Raw genomic sequence first — 14,943 nt, 5'->3', positions numbered from 1 at the left:
TCCTGGATTCAAGCGATTCTCCTGCCTCAGCCTCCCAGGTGGCTGGGATTACAGGCATGTGTCACCAAGCCTGGCTAATTTTGTATTTTTAGTAGAGACGGGATTTCTCCATGTTGGTCAGGCTGGTCTCGCACTCCTGACCTCAGATGATCTGCCCACCTTGGCCTCCCAAAGTGCTGGGATTCTAGGCGTGAGCCACTGTGCCCGGCCCTGGGATTTTGCTTCTTTAAAGTTAATTTCGAGGTTGGGCACAGTGGCTCATGCCTGTAATCCCAGCACTTTGGGAGGCCAAGGAGGGAAGATTGCTTGAGCCCAGGAATTGACCAGCCCTGGCAACATAGCGAGATCCCATCTCTACAAAAAATTAAAATATTAGCTGGCCAGGGTGGTGTGCACCTGTGGTCCCAGCTAGTTGGGAGGCTGAGGCAGGAGGATCACCTGAGCCCAGGAGGTCGAGGCTGCAGTGAGCCAAGATCTCACCACTACACTCCAGCCTGGGTGACTGAATGAGACCCTGTCTCTAAGAAAACCCAAAATTAATCTTGAAACTATTTAATGTGTATTGTAGGACAATGGAAATAAATATGTAGGAGAAAAGGGATGCAAATACGAAAGAAACAACTGTGAGTTTTGAATTTTAATTAGAAATATCAACATGGCCGGGTGCAGTGGCTCAAGCCTGTTATCCCAGCACTTTGGGAGGCCAAGGCGGGCGGATCATGAGGTCAGGAGATTGAGACCATCCTGGCCAACATGGTGAAACCCTGTCTCTAATAAAAATACAAAAATTAGCCTGGCGTGGTGGCACATGCCTATAATCCCAGCTACTTGGGAGGCTAAGGCAGGAGAATTGCTTGAACCAGGGAGTCGGAGGTTGCAGTGAGATCCTGCCATTGCACTCCAGCCTGGTGACAGAGCAAGACTGTGTCTCAAAAAAGAAAAAAAAAAAAGGATCATTCCAAGATGGCCGAATATGAACAACTCCAGTCTACAGCTCCCAGCATGATTGACGCAGAAGACGGGTGATTTCTGCATTTCCAACTGAGGTACCAGGTTCATCTCATTGGGACTGGTTGGACAGTGGGTGCAGCCCATGGAGTGTGAGCTGAAGCAGGGCGGGGCATCGCCTCACCCAGGAAGTGCAAGGGGTCAGGGGATTTCCCTTTCCTAGCCAAGGGAAACAGTGACAGATGGTACCTGGAAAATTGGGACACTCCCGCCCTAATACTGCACTTTTCTAATGGTCTTAGCAAACAGCACACTAGGAGATTATATCCTGCGCCTGGCTCAGCAGGTCCCATGCCCATGGAGCCTTGCTCACTGCTAGTGTAGCAGTCTGAGATCAAACCGTGAGGCGGCAGCCAGGCTGCAGGAGGGGCGTCTGCCATTGCTGAGGCTTGACTAGGTAAACAAAGTGGCCTGGAAGCTCGAACTGGGTAGAGCCCACTGCAGCTCAACAAGGCCTGTCTGCCTCTGTAGACTCCACCTCTGGGGACAGGGCATAGCTGAACAAAAGGCAGCAGAAACTTCTGCAGACTTAAATGGCCCTGTCTGACAGCTTTGAAGCAAGCAGTGGTTCTCCCGGCATGGAGTTGGAGCTCTGAGAATGGACAGACTGCCTCCTCAAGTGGGTCCCTGACCCTTGACTAGCCTAACTGTGAGACACCTCCCAGTAGGGGCCGACTGACACCTCGTACAGCCGGGTGCCCCTCTGAGACGAAGTTTTCAGAGGAAGGATCAGGCAGCAACATTTGCTGTTCTGCAATATTTGCTTTTCTGCAGCCTCTGCTGGTGATACCCAGGCAAACAGGGTCTGGAGTGGACCTCCAGCAAACTCCAACAGACCTTCAGCTGAGGGTCCTGACTGTTAGAAGGAAAACTAACAAACAGAAAGGAATAGCATCAATATCAACAAAAAGGACATCCACACCAAAACCCCATCTGTAGGTCACCAACATCAAAGACCAAAGGTAGATAAAACCACAAAGATGGGGAGAAACCAGAGCAGAAAAGCTGCAAATTCTAAAAACCAGAGTGCCTCTTCTCCTCCAAAGGATCGCAGCTCCTCGCCAGCAATGGAACAAAGCTGGACAGGGAATGACTTTGACAAGTTGACAGAAGTAGGCTTCAGAAGGTCGGTAATGACAAACTTCTCTGAGCTAAAGGAGGAGGTTTGAACCCATTGCAAAGAAGCTAAAAACCTTGAAAAAGGATTAGATGAATGGCTATCTAGAATAAACAGCATAGAGAAGACCTTAAATGACCTGATGGAGCTGAAAACCATGGCACGAGAACTACGTGACGCATGCACAAGCTTCAGTAGCCGATTTGATCAAGTGCAAGAAAGGGTATCAGTGATTGAAGATCACATGAATGAAATGAAGCGAGAAGAGAAGTTTAGAGAAAAAAGAACAAAGCCTCCAAGAAATATGGGACCAGGTGAAAAGCCCAAATCTACCTTTGATTGGTGTACCTGAGAGTGACGGGGAGAATGGAACCAAGCTGGAAAACACTCTTCAGGATATTATCCAGGAGAACTTCCCCAATCTAGCAAGGCAGGCCAACATTCAAATTCAGGAAATACAGAGAACACCACAAAGATACTCCTCAAGAGGAACAACCCCAAGACACATAACTGTCAGATTCACCAAGGTTGAACTGAAGGAAAAAATATTAAGGGCAGCCAGAGAGAAAGGTTGGGTTACCCACAAAGGGAAGCCCATCAGACTAACAGCAGATCTCTCAGCAGAAACTCTACAAGCCAGAAGAGAGTGGGGGCCAATATTCAACATTCTTAAAGAAAAGAATTTTCAACCCAGAATTTCATATTCAGCCAAACTAAGCTTCATAAGTGAAGGAGAAATAAAATCCTTTACAGACAAGCAAAGGCTGAAAGATTTTGTTACCACCAGGCCTGCCTTACAAGAGCTCCTGAAGAAAGCACTAAACATGGAAAGGAACAACCGGTACCGGCCACTGCAAAAACATGCCAAATTGCAAAGACCCTCAATGCTAGGAAGAAACTACATCAACTAACGGGTAAAATAACCAGCTAACATCATAATGACAGGATCACATTCACACATAGCAATATTAACCTTAAATGTAAATGGGCTAAATGCCCCAATTAAAAGACACAGACTGGCAAATTGGATAAAGAGTCAAGACCGATCAGTGTGCTGTATTCAGGAGACCCATCTCATATGCAAAGACACACATAAGCTCAAAATAAAGGGATGGAGGAAGATCTACCAAGCAAATGGAAAACAAAAAAAGCAGGGGTTGCAATCCTAGTCTCTGATAAAACAGACTTTAAACCAACAGAAATCAAAAGAGACACAGAAGGCCATTACATAATGGTAAAGGGATCAATTCAACAAGAAGAGCTAACTATCCTAAATATATATGCACCCAATACAGGAGCACCCAGATTCATAAAGCAAGTCCTTAGAGACCTACAAAGAGACTTAGATTCCCACACAATAATAATGGGAGACTTTAACACCCCACCGTCAGCATTAGACAGATCAACAAGACAGAAGGTTAACAAAGATATCCAGGAACTGAACTCAGCTCTGCACCAAGTGGACCTAATAGACATCTACAGAACTCTCCACCCCAAATCAACAGAATATACATTCTTCTCAGCACCACATTGCACTTATTCCAAAATTGACCACATAGTTGGAAGTAAAGCACTCCTCAGCAAATGTAAAAGAACAGAAATCGTAACAAACTGTCTCTCAGACCACGTGCAATCAAATTAGAACTCAGGATTAAGAAACTCACTCAAAACTGCACAACTACATGGAAACTGAACAATCTGCTCCTGAATGACTACTGGGTAAATAATGAAATGAAGGCAGAAATAAAGATGTTCTTTGAAACCAATGAGAACAAAGACACAATGTACCAGAATCTCTGGGACACATTTAAAGCAGTGTATAGAGGGAAATTTATAGCACTAAATGCCCACAAGAGAAAGCAGGAAAAATCTAAAATTGACACCCTAACATCACAATTAAAAGAACTAGAGAAGCAAGAGCAAACAAATTCAAAAGCTAGCAGAAGGCAAGAAATAACTAAGATCAGAGCAGAACTGAAGGAGATAGAGACATAAAAACCCTTCAAAAAATAAATGAATCTAGGAGCTGGTTTTTTGAAAAGATCAACAAAATAGATAGACCGTTAGCAAGACTAATAAAGAAGAAAAGAGGCCGGGCACGGTGGCTCACGCCTGTAATCCCAGCACTTTGGGAGGCCGAGGCGGGCGGATCACGAGGTCAGGAGATCGAGACTATCCTGGCTAACACAGTGAAACCCCGTCTCTACTAAAAATACAAAAAAAAAAAAAAATTAGCCAGGCGTGGTGGTGGACGCCTGTAGTCCCAGCTACTCAGGAGGCTGAGGCAGGAGAACGGCGTGAACCCGTGAGGCGGAGCTTGCAGTGAGCTGAGATTGCACCACTGCACTCCAGCCTGGGCGACAGTGTGAGACTCCGTCTCAAAAAAAAAAAAAAAAAAAAAAGAAAAGAAAAGAAGAAAAGAGAGAAGAATCAAATAGACACAATAAAAAATGATAAAGGGGATATCACCACCGATCTCACAGAAATACAAACTACCATCAGAGAATGCTAAAAACACCTCTATGCAAATAAATTAGAAAATCTAGAAGAAATGGATAAATTCCTGGACACATACACCCTCCCAAGATTAAACCAGGAGAAGTTGAATCCCTGAATAGACCAATAACGGGCTCTGAAATTGACGCAATGGTTAATAGCCTACCAACCAAAAAAAGTCCAGGACCAGATGGATTCATAGCCAAATTCTACCAGAGGTACAAAGAGGAGCTGGCACCATTCCTTCTGAAACTATTCCAATCAATAGAAAAAGAGGGAATCCTCCCTAACTAATTTTAGGAGGCCAGCATCTCCTGATACCAAAGCCTGGCAGAGAAACAACAAAAAAAGAGAATTTTAGACCAATATCCCTGATGAACATCGATGCGAAAATCCTCAATAAAATATGCCAAACCAAATCCAGCAGCACATCAAAAAGCTTATCCACCACGATCAAGTTGGCTTCACCCCAGGATGCAAGGCAGGTTCAACATACACAAATCAATAAACGTAACCCATCACATAAACAGAACCAAAGACAAAAACCACATGATTATCTCAATAGATGCAGAAAAGTCCTTCAACAAATTCAACAGCCTTTCATGCTAAAAACTCTCAATAAACTAGGTATTGATGGGATGTATCTAAAAATAATAAGAGCTATTTATGACAAATCCACAGCCAATATCATACTGAATGGGCAAAAACTGGAAGCATTCCCTTTGAAAACTGGCACAAGACAGGGATGCCCTCTCTCACCACTCCTATTCAACATAGTGTTGGAAGTTCTGGCCAGGACAATCAGGCAGGAGAAAGAAATAAAGGGTATTCAGTTAGGAAAAGAGGAAGTCAAATTTTCCCTCTTTGCAGATGACTTGATTGTATATTTAGAAAACCCCATCATCTCAGCCCAAAATCTCCTTAAGCTGATAAGCAACTTCAGCAAAGTCTCAGGATACAAAATCAATGTGCAAAAATCACAAGCATTCCGGTACACTAATAACAGACAAACAAGAGCCAAATCATGAGTGAACTCCCATTCACAATTGCTTCAAAGAGAATAAAATACCTAGGAATCCAATTTATAAGGGATATGAAGGACCTCTTCAAGGAGAACTACAAACCACTGCTCAACGAAATAAAAGAGGACACAAACAAATGGAAGAACATTCCATGCTCATGGATAGGAAGAATCAATATGGTGAAAACGGCCATACTGCCCAAGGTAATTTATAGATTTAATGCCATCCCTGTCAAGCTACCAATGACTTTCTTCACAGAATTGGAAACAACTACTTTAAAGTTCATATGGAACCAGAAAAGAGCCCGCATCGCCAAGTCAATCCTAAGCAAAAAGAACAAAGCTGAAGGTATCATGCTACCTGACTTTGAACCATACTACAAGGCTACAGTAACCAAAACAGCATGATACTGGTACCAAAACAGAGATATAGACCAATGGAACAGAACAGAGCCCTCAGAAATAATACCACACATCTACAACCATCTGATCTTTGACAAACCTGACAAAAACAAGAAATGGGGAAAGGATTCCCTATTTAATAAATGGTGCTGGGAAAACTGTCTAGCCATATGTAGAAAGCTGAAACTGGATCCCTTCCTTATGCCTTATACAAAAATTAATTCAAGAAGGATTAAAGACTTAAATGTTAGACCTAAAACCATAAAAACCCTAGAAGAAAACCTAGGCAATACCATTCAGGACATAGGCATGGGCAAGGACTTCATGACTAAAACACCAAAAGCAATGGCAACAAAAGCCAAAATAGACAAATGGGATCTAATTAAACTAAACAGCTTCTGCACAGCAAAAGAAATTACTATCAGAGTGAACCTACAGAATGGGAGAAAATTTTTGCAATCTACCCATCAGACAAAGGGCTAATATCCAGAATCTACAAAGAAACAAATTTACAAGAAAAAAAATCAAACAACCGCATCAAAAAGTGGGCAAAGGATATGAACAACCACTTCTCAAAAGAAGACATTTATGCAGCCAACAGACACATGAAAAGATGCTCATCATCACTGGCCATCAGAGAAATGCAAATCAAAACCACAGTGAGATACCATCTCACACCAGTTAGAATGGTGATCATTAAAAAGTCAGGAAACAACAGGTGCTGGAGAGGATGTGGAGAAATAGGAACACTTTTACACTGTTGGTGGGAGTGTAAACTAGTTCAACCATTGTGGAAGACAGTGTGGTGATTCCTCTAGGATCTAGAACTAGAAATACCATTTGACCCAGCGATCCCATTACTGGGTATACACCCAAAGGATTATAAATCATGCTAATATAAAGACACATACACACGTATGTTTATTGCGGCACTATTCACAATAGCCAAGACTTGGAACCAACCCAAATGTCCATCAGTGATAGACTGGATTAAGAAAATGTGGCATGTATACATCATGGAATACTATGCAGCCATAAAAAGGATGAGTTCATGTCCTTTGCAGGGACATGGATGAAGCTGGAAACCATCATTCTGAGCAAACTATCGCAAGGACAGAAAACCAAACACTGCATGTTCTCACTCACAGGTGGGAAGTGAACAATGAGAACACTTGGACGCAGGATGGGAAACATCACACACTGGGGCCTGTTGTGGGGTGGGGGGAGGGGGGAGAGATAGCATTAGGAGAAATACCTAATGTAAATGATGAGTTAATGGGTGCAGCAAACCAACATGCCACATGCATACACATGTAACAAACCTGCATGTTGTGCACGTGTACCCTAGAACTTAAAGTATAATTTAAAAAATAAAATAAAAATAAATAAATAAATAAAGTGTTAAAAAAAGAAAGAAATATCAACATGAACTTATGAATTTGGGGGTAGCCTTCCTGTCTTTGGCACACTGGAAGAGCTGTGGCGTAGTTTCTCAGGGCTACGGTAACAAAATGTCACAAACTGGTGGCTTAGAACACAGAAATGTTCTGCCCCAAATTTCTGGAGGCTTGAGGTCCAAAGTGAGGGGGTGGAAAGGGCCACGCTGTGTCTGAAGGTGCTGGGAATCCTCCCTCCCAGGCCTCTCTGCAGCCTCGGCCACGCTGCGTCTGAAGGTGCTGGGAATCCTTCTGCCCAGGCCTCTCTCCAGCCTCCAGCAGCCTCCAGTGTTCCTTGGAGTGTGGCGGAGTCACTCCTGTCCTCCCTCTTCACAGCCTGTCTTCTCCCTGTGTCTTTTTTTTTTTTTTTGAGACAGAGCTCTGTCACCCAGGCTGGAGTGCAGTTGTGCAATCACAGCTCACTGTAACCTCCGCCTCCCAGGTTCAAGCAATTCTCCTGCCTCAGCCTCCCAAGTAGCTGGGATTACAGGCATTCACCACCATGCCTGGCTAATTTTTGTATTTAGTAGAGATGGAGTTTCACCATGTTGTCCAGGCTGGGCTCGAACTCCTGGGCTCAGGTGATCCACCCATCTCAGCCTCCCAAAGTGCTGGGATTACAGGCGTGAGCCACTGCGCCCGGCCTTCTCTCTGCGTGTTAATGTTGCTTTCCCTCTTTCCTTCTGCATGTCTTCTCTGTGTGGCCATTTCTCCTTTCTATTTTTTATTTATTTATTTATTTTGAGACAGAGTCTTGCTCTGTTGCCCAAGCTAGAGTGCAGGGGCATGATCTTGGCTCACTGCAACCTCTGCCTCCCAGGTTCAAGTGATTCTTCTGCCTCAGCTTCCCAAGTAGCTGGGATTATAGGCATGCACCACCATGCCTGGCGAATTTTTATATTTTTAGTAGAGACGAGATTTCACCATGTTGGCCAGGCTGGTCTCGAACTCCTGACCTCAAGTGATCCACTTGCCTTGGCCTCCCAAAGTGCTGGGATTACAGGCATGAGCCAATACGCCTGCCCCCCTCCTTTTGATTTTAATTTCATATTTTTGAGATGGAGTCTTACTCTGTGGCCCAGGCTGGAGTGCAGTGGTGTGATCCTAGCTCACTGCAGCCTCAAACTTCTGGGCTGAAGTGATCCTCCTGCCTCAGCCTTCGGAGTGTCTGGGACCATGGCATGTGGTGCCACCACACCCGGCTAGTTTTATGTTGTTATTGAGACAGAGTCTTCCTATGTTGCTCAGGCTGATCTCAAACTCCTGGGCTCCTCCCACTTCAGCCTCCTAAAGTGTTGGGATTACAGGCGTGAGCCACTGCACCGGGCCACATTTCCCCTTTTTATAAGGACACCGGTCATATTGGATTAGGGTCTCACCCCCCGATGACCGCATCTTAACCCGGTTACCTCGGTAAAGACCACATGAGGTCACATTCTGAGGGACTGGAGGTTAGAACATCAGCATATTTTTTTGGGGACGCACAATTCACCCCTTAACAGCCTGTAAGCAAAGACAACTTGGTAGCAGCGAGCACAGCAAGCTCTCAGATCCTGGGGCATTTGCTGCTGGCCTTCCTCAGGTCAAAAGATCTGATGCTGCCCCTACTCCACTCACACATCCAGCTGAGGCCCAGGGGTTGCAAAAGCCTGGACTGGAGGGTGTGAGGACCTTTCACGAACGCCGCCTACCCTGAGCTAGCTGGGGGTCCCTGTGCATTACGCAGTCAGGCTGGAGCCCTGGCCCCAGCGGCAGGTGTCAGATTAGAGAAAGAGGGGCTGTAGCTAGGCCAGCTCCCTCATGTTGCAGATGAGGAAACTGAGCTCAGGGGATGTGGGCTGATCTTGGACCACAGAGGATGTTAGTGTTGGGGCCGCACTGGGATCAGGTCTTCCGAGCTCTCCCACCCCTCTCTGCCACCCGCAGCTTGGACACTCCTTGCTCTGGGAGGCCTCCATGGCCACCTGGGCCAGGGCCCTTCATTACGCATCCTACTGCACTGATCGTGACACACAGCCCCTCTCCCCTCATCTCCTCCGGCCCCCATCGCTCCGCGCTGACCCCACTGACCTCTCGCTCTTCCTTGAACTGGCACAGGCCTTCGCTGGCCTCCCAGGTCTCTGCAAAGATCTCTCCCTCACTGCTTCGGGTATTTCCTCAAAGGTGGGCTCCCTGGCCATCGCATCTCAAACACAAGCCTCCTGCTGGCTCTTCCTAGTTCCTCTCCGTAGCTCTTACCACCGGAAAGTTTTGTGATCCTGTTTACAGAGGAGGACTCTGGAGCTCAGGGAGGGTGTGGCTTGTGCAGGCCACTGAGAGGGCAGGACCAGGACCCAGACTTGACTGTCACATTGATGCCCAAACCAGGCAGTGCTGCCCTTTGAGCCTCCAAAGGGAAGGGAATGGGTCTCATTCTCTTTGTCCTCCTTCGCCGTACCATGCTGGTGCATATGTAATAAGGGCCATGAATTTAACTTGATCAGAAAGGGCACATTTTGGACTCCAACTTGGGATAGGAAAGCTCCCTGGCCACCTGAGTTGGATGCCCCTGCAATGACCACCTTTTCCCACTAGAGGGCGCTGTAGGACAGAAACTCAGCCGAGAGTGGCCCTGACAGCCGGGTCCATTGAGACCAGCCTGGACAGCCAGGGCTCCCAAGGCTCGCCCTTCAGGACAGCTGCCTCACTGGGTCCTTATAGCAAAACCAGAAATGAAGTACCATTACCATCCCCACTTTACACATTAAGAAATCGAGGACCAGCCTGGCCAACATGGTGAAACCCCGTCTCTACTAAAAATAGAGAGAAACCCCATCTCTACTTGGAAGGCTGAGGCATAAGAATCACTTGAACCTGGGAGGCGGATGTTGCAGTGAGCCAAGATCGAGCCACTATACTCCAGCCTGGGCGACAGAGTAAGACTCTGTCTCAAAAAAAAAAAAAAAAAAAAAAAGGCCAGGCACGGGTGGCTCACGCCTGTAATCCCAGCACTCTGGGAGGCCGAGGCAGGCAGATCACGAGGTCAGGAGATCGAGACCATCCTGGCTAACACAGTGAAACCCCATCTCTACTAACAAATACAAAAAATTAGCCGGGTGTGGTGGTGGATGCCTGTAGTCCCAGCTACTCGGGAGGCTGAGGCAGGAGAATGGCGTGAATCCGGGAGGCGGAGCTTGCAGTGAGCCGAAATCGTGCCACCCACTGCACTCCAGCCTGGGCGACAGAGCGAGAGTCTGTCTCAAAAAAAAAAAAAAAAAAAAAAAGAAAGGAAAGAAAAGAAAAAAGAAACCAAGGCTCAGGCCGAGCAGTGTGTGGCTCATGCCTGTAGTCCCAGCACTTTGGGAGGCTGAGGCCAGAGGATGGCTTCAGCACAGGAGTTGAGGCCAGCCTCGGCAACATGGTGAGACCCCCGTGTCTACAAAAACAAATACAAATGTTAGCTGGGTGTGGTGGCACAGGCCTATAGTCGCAGCTACTCAGGAGGCTGATGTGGGAGGATTGCTTGAGCCCAGGAGGTCAAGGCTGCAGTGAGCTATGATTGTGCCACTGTGTTCCAGCCTGGGTGACAGAATGACACCTTGTTTCAAAAAGAAAGAGAGAGAGAGAGAGAGAGGGAGGGAGGGAGGGAAGAAGGAGAAAAGAAAAGAAAAGAAAAGAAGGAAGGAAGGAAGGAACCAAGGCTTAGTGTTGATAAGGGATTTGTCCCAAGTGAGCACCTTAGAAATGGGAGAACCAGGGCTGCAACTCAGCTCCCATCCCAAACCCACACTGTTGGCTGCTCAAACCCCTTCCCTCTCCCAGGCTGCTTGGCTCTGTCTTTCCTCCTGGATCCCTTCTAGGAAGGGTCCCTTCAGCTCGGTGAGATTTGCCCAATATGCTCAGCAGTGGGTTGGGGGGCTCCCCCACATTAATTTGTTCTGGGAGACTCTGGGCTGTGGGGCTGCTAGGGGGCACCTGGAGAAGGAGTAGGGGTGGGGCTGTGTTGCCATGGGGAGGGGGATCCGGGCCGCAGGGCTGGGAGTCCTTCTGTTCCAGCCCCTGGCAGAGCCGGCCCCCTGGGAACCGGCCAGGCTTATTAATATCCTGCTGAGTCAGGGGGCGCTTGAGTTTCGGCATCACAAGACCCAGAGGCTGAGCACTGCAGGGATATTCTTAACTCCCCAGGCACCCTCTCCCTCCCACCGGCCCTGCCCACCCCTGGCTGGGGCCTTGCAGGCCTGAGTTGCCACGTGGCCTGGGGTAAAGCACTTCCCCGGACTGTGAAATGGAGACAAGAACTGTCCTGCCCCGGCTGTAATTAGACAGTGTTCCTAAACGGTTTGATGTATGCGAAGGGCTAAGAAGCAAGAGCTGTCCTGGAAAATGCTTTTTTTTTTTTTTTTTTTTTTTTTTGAGACGGAATCTCGCTCTGTTGCCCAGGCTGGAGTGCAGGGGCGTGATCTCAGCTCACTGTGACCTCTGTCTCCAGAGTGCAAGCCATTCTTCTGCCTCAGCTGGAATTACAGGCGCCCACCACCACGCCCGGCTAATTTTTGTATTTTTAGTAAAGACGGGGTTTCACTATGTTGGCCAGGCTGTTCTCAAACTCCTGTCGTCAGGTGATCCTCCTGCCTCAGCCTCCCAAGTGCTGAAATTACAGGCATGAACCACCGCACCTGGCCTAGAAAATGCTTTTTTGAGGACCTGCTACACAGGGGCCCTGGCCTGGAGGCTGGGGTCCTACAGCAAGGGGTGGCGCAGCCCCTCTCTTACAGAGCTCACTGCCTGCACCCACAGGCCCCCGCCAGCAGCCTCAGCTGAGTGGGCTCGGCCAGGGCTGGACACAAGCTGGGCCTGGGTTTGAGCTCTCCTGGCCATTTGGAATCGGGTCTGGGAGACTCTGGTCACATGGGGTGGGCTCTGTCTAACTGGAAGAGAAACTGGACTTGGGGTGAGGGATCCATGAGGGGCAGCCATGATAGCAGAGGGGGCTGGTCTGCAGAGGATGGAATGAGGCACATGCACAAAAGCCCGGGGCCCCAGGAGAGAGGCTCCCCTGCTCCCAGCTCTGCCCCTTGCACCCTCTTCCCAGCCCAGGTTCCAGGAAGCTGCCCTGTGTCCTCAGACACTGCCCTCATGGCTACTCCCAACCCACACAGCCCTGCAGAGGCAGGTGGAGGGGAGAGCACTTCTTCATCTCCGGGCCCTTGGGATTCCAGCAGTCATGGTTTTTGTGTTTTTTTGTTTTTGTTTTTGTTTTTGAGACAGGGTCTTGCTCTGTTGCCTAGTCTTGTCTTGAACTCCTGGGCTCAAGGGATCCTTCCTCGTTGGCCTCCCAAAGCACTGGGAGCCAGTGTCATGGTTTAAAAACCGTTTACAGGGCTAGGTGTGGTGGCTCACGCCTGTAATCCCGGCACTTTGGGAGGCCGAGGCGGACAGATCACGAGGTCAGGAGATTGAGATCATCCTGGTTAACACAGTGAAACCCCATCTCTACTAAAAATACAAAAAATCAGCTGGGCGTGGTGGCACATGCCTGTAATCCCAGCTAGTGTCTTTCTCTGTCACCCAAGCTGGAGTGCACTAGTTGGGAGGCTGAGGCAGGAGAATCGCTTAAACCTGGGAGGCAGAGGTTACAGTGAGCCGAGACTGCACCACTGCACTCCAGCCTGGGCGACAGAGTGAGACTCTCTCAAAAACAAAAACAAAAACAAAAACAAAACAAAAAAAACCACATTTACATGCCGGGTGTGGTGGCTTGTGCCTATAATCCCAGGACTTTGGAAGGCCGAGGTAGGTGAATCACTTGAGGTCAGGAGTTCGAGACCAGCCAGTCCAACATGGTGAAACCCTGTCTCTACTAAAAATACAAAAATAAGTTGGGCATGCTGGTGGGGGCCTGTAATCTCAGCTACTTGGGAGGCTAAGGCAGGAGAATCACTTGAACCCAGCAGGTGGAAGTTGCAGTGAGCTGAGATCACACCACCACACTCCAGCTTGGGTGACAGAGAAAGACACTATCTAAAAAAAACAAAAACAAAACATTTACTGAGGGCTTACCAGTCCCCAAGCCCATTTTGCGTGCAATATGTGTGCCATCTCCCCAAACCCTCATGAGGTGCCTTTGAGGTAGGTACTTGGTTCTCCTCTTTTTTTTTTTAGATGGAGTTTCACTCTTGTTGCCCAGGCTGGAGTTCAGTGGGCTCACTGCAACCTCCGCCTCCCGGGTTCAAGCGCTTCTCCTGCCTCAGCCTCCCAAGTAGCTGACACTACAGGAGGCTGCCACCACGCCCGGCTAATTTTTGTATTTTTAGTAGAGATGGGGTTTTACCATGTTGGCCAGGCTGGTCTCAAACTCCTGACCTCAGGTGATCCGCCCACCTCGGCCTCCCAGAGTGCTGGGATTACAGGCGTGAGTCACTGCGCCCGGCTGGCCGGTTCTCCTCATTTTACAGATGAGGAAATGGAGTCTTACACGGTAAGTCAAAGCCACTAAGTAATGGAGCTATGCCTCGAATCTGGGCCTGGCTGATATCTGAGCCCTGATTCTTAACCTTCATTCTAGACTCATTCATTCAGTGTGACATCTGTAGATTTGTCGACACAATTAATGGGTGAATAAAATAACTTCAGGCTGGGCGCACTGGCTTATGCCTGTAATCCCAGTACTTTGGGAGGCTGAGGTGGGAGGATCACTTAAGCCCAGGAGTTTGAGACCAGCCTGGGTAGGTGAGACCCCCCTGTCTCTATAAAAAATTAATAAATTAGTCAGGCATGGTGGTGCATGCCTATAGTTCCAGCTACCCTGGAGGCTGAGGCAGGAGGATCGCTTGAGCCCAGGAAGTAGAGGCTGTAGTGAGCCATGATTGTGTCACTGCACTCCTGCCTGGGTGACAGAGTGAGATCCTGTCTGAAAAACAAAACAAAACAAAACAAAACAAAACAAAAAAAACCAACTTTGTACCTAGCAAATTCCTCTTTTCATGTCCTTGACCCCAGGGGCCCTTACACTGTGAGCCCCTGGGGACAGTGACTGGGTCTCCCTCCCCTCACTCCCACCCCCATGCACACACAGGGTCCGCCCAAGGCTGTGCTCCCTGCACAATTTTTTTTTTGAGATGGAGTCTCGCTCTGTCGCCAGGCTGGAGTGCAATGGTGCGATCTCACCTCACTGCAACCTCTGCCTCCCGGGTTCAAGCAATTCTCCTGCCTCAGCCTCCCAAGTAGCTGGGACTACAGGCGTGCACCACCACACCTAGCTACTTTTTGTATTTTTAGTAGAGATGGGGTTTCACTATGTTGGCCAGGCTGGTCTTGAACTCCTGACCTCAGGTGATCCACCCACCTCAGCCTCCCAAAGTGCTGAGATTACAGGCATGAGCCACTGTGCCCAGCCCGCTCCCTGCACATTTGATGGATTCCAGGGTACTCTGTGAACACTGACCCCTCTTCAAATCCTGCCCACAGCTTGTCAAATGGGGCCT

General features: G+C 48.2%; 1 long non-coding RNA gene across 1 annotated transcript in view; it reads right to left on the bottom strand.

Annotated features, from left to right (window-relative positions):
* The window catches only part of LOC105376299 (uncharacterized), a 34,154-nt gene that overhangs the window by 12,542 nt on the left and 6,669 nt on the right, over positions 1–14,943 (bottom strand). The gene's annotated exons all lie outside the window — the stretch shown is intronic.

Source organism: Homo sapiens, chromosome 9, assembly GCF_000001405.40.
Source record: "Homo sapiens chromosome 9, GRCh38.p14 Primary Assembly".
Classification (NCBI taxonomy): domain Eukaryota; kingdom Metazoa; phylum Chordata; class Mammalia; order Primates; family Hominidae; genus Homo; species Homo sapiens.
The sequence above is the reverse complement of the archived record's forward strand: the minus strand, read 5'-3'. Positions and strand labels throughout refer to the sequence as shown.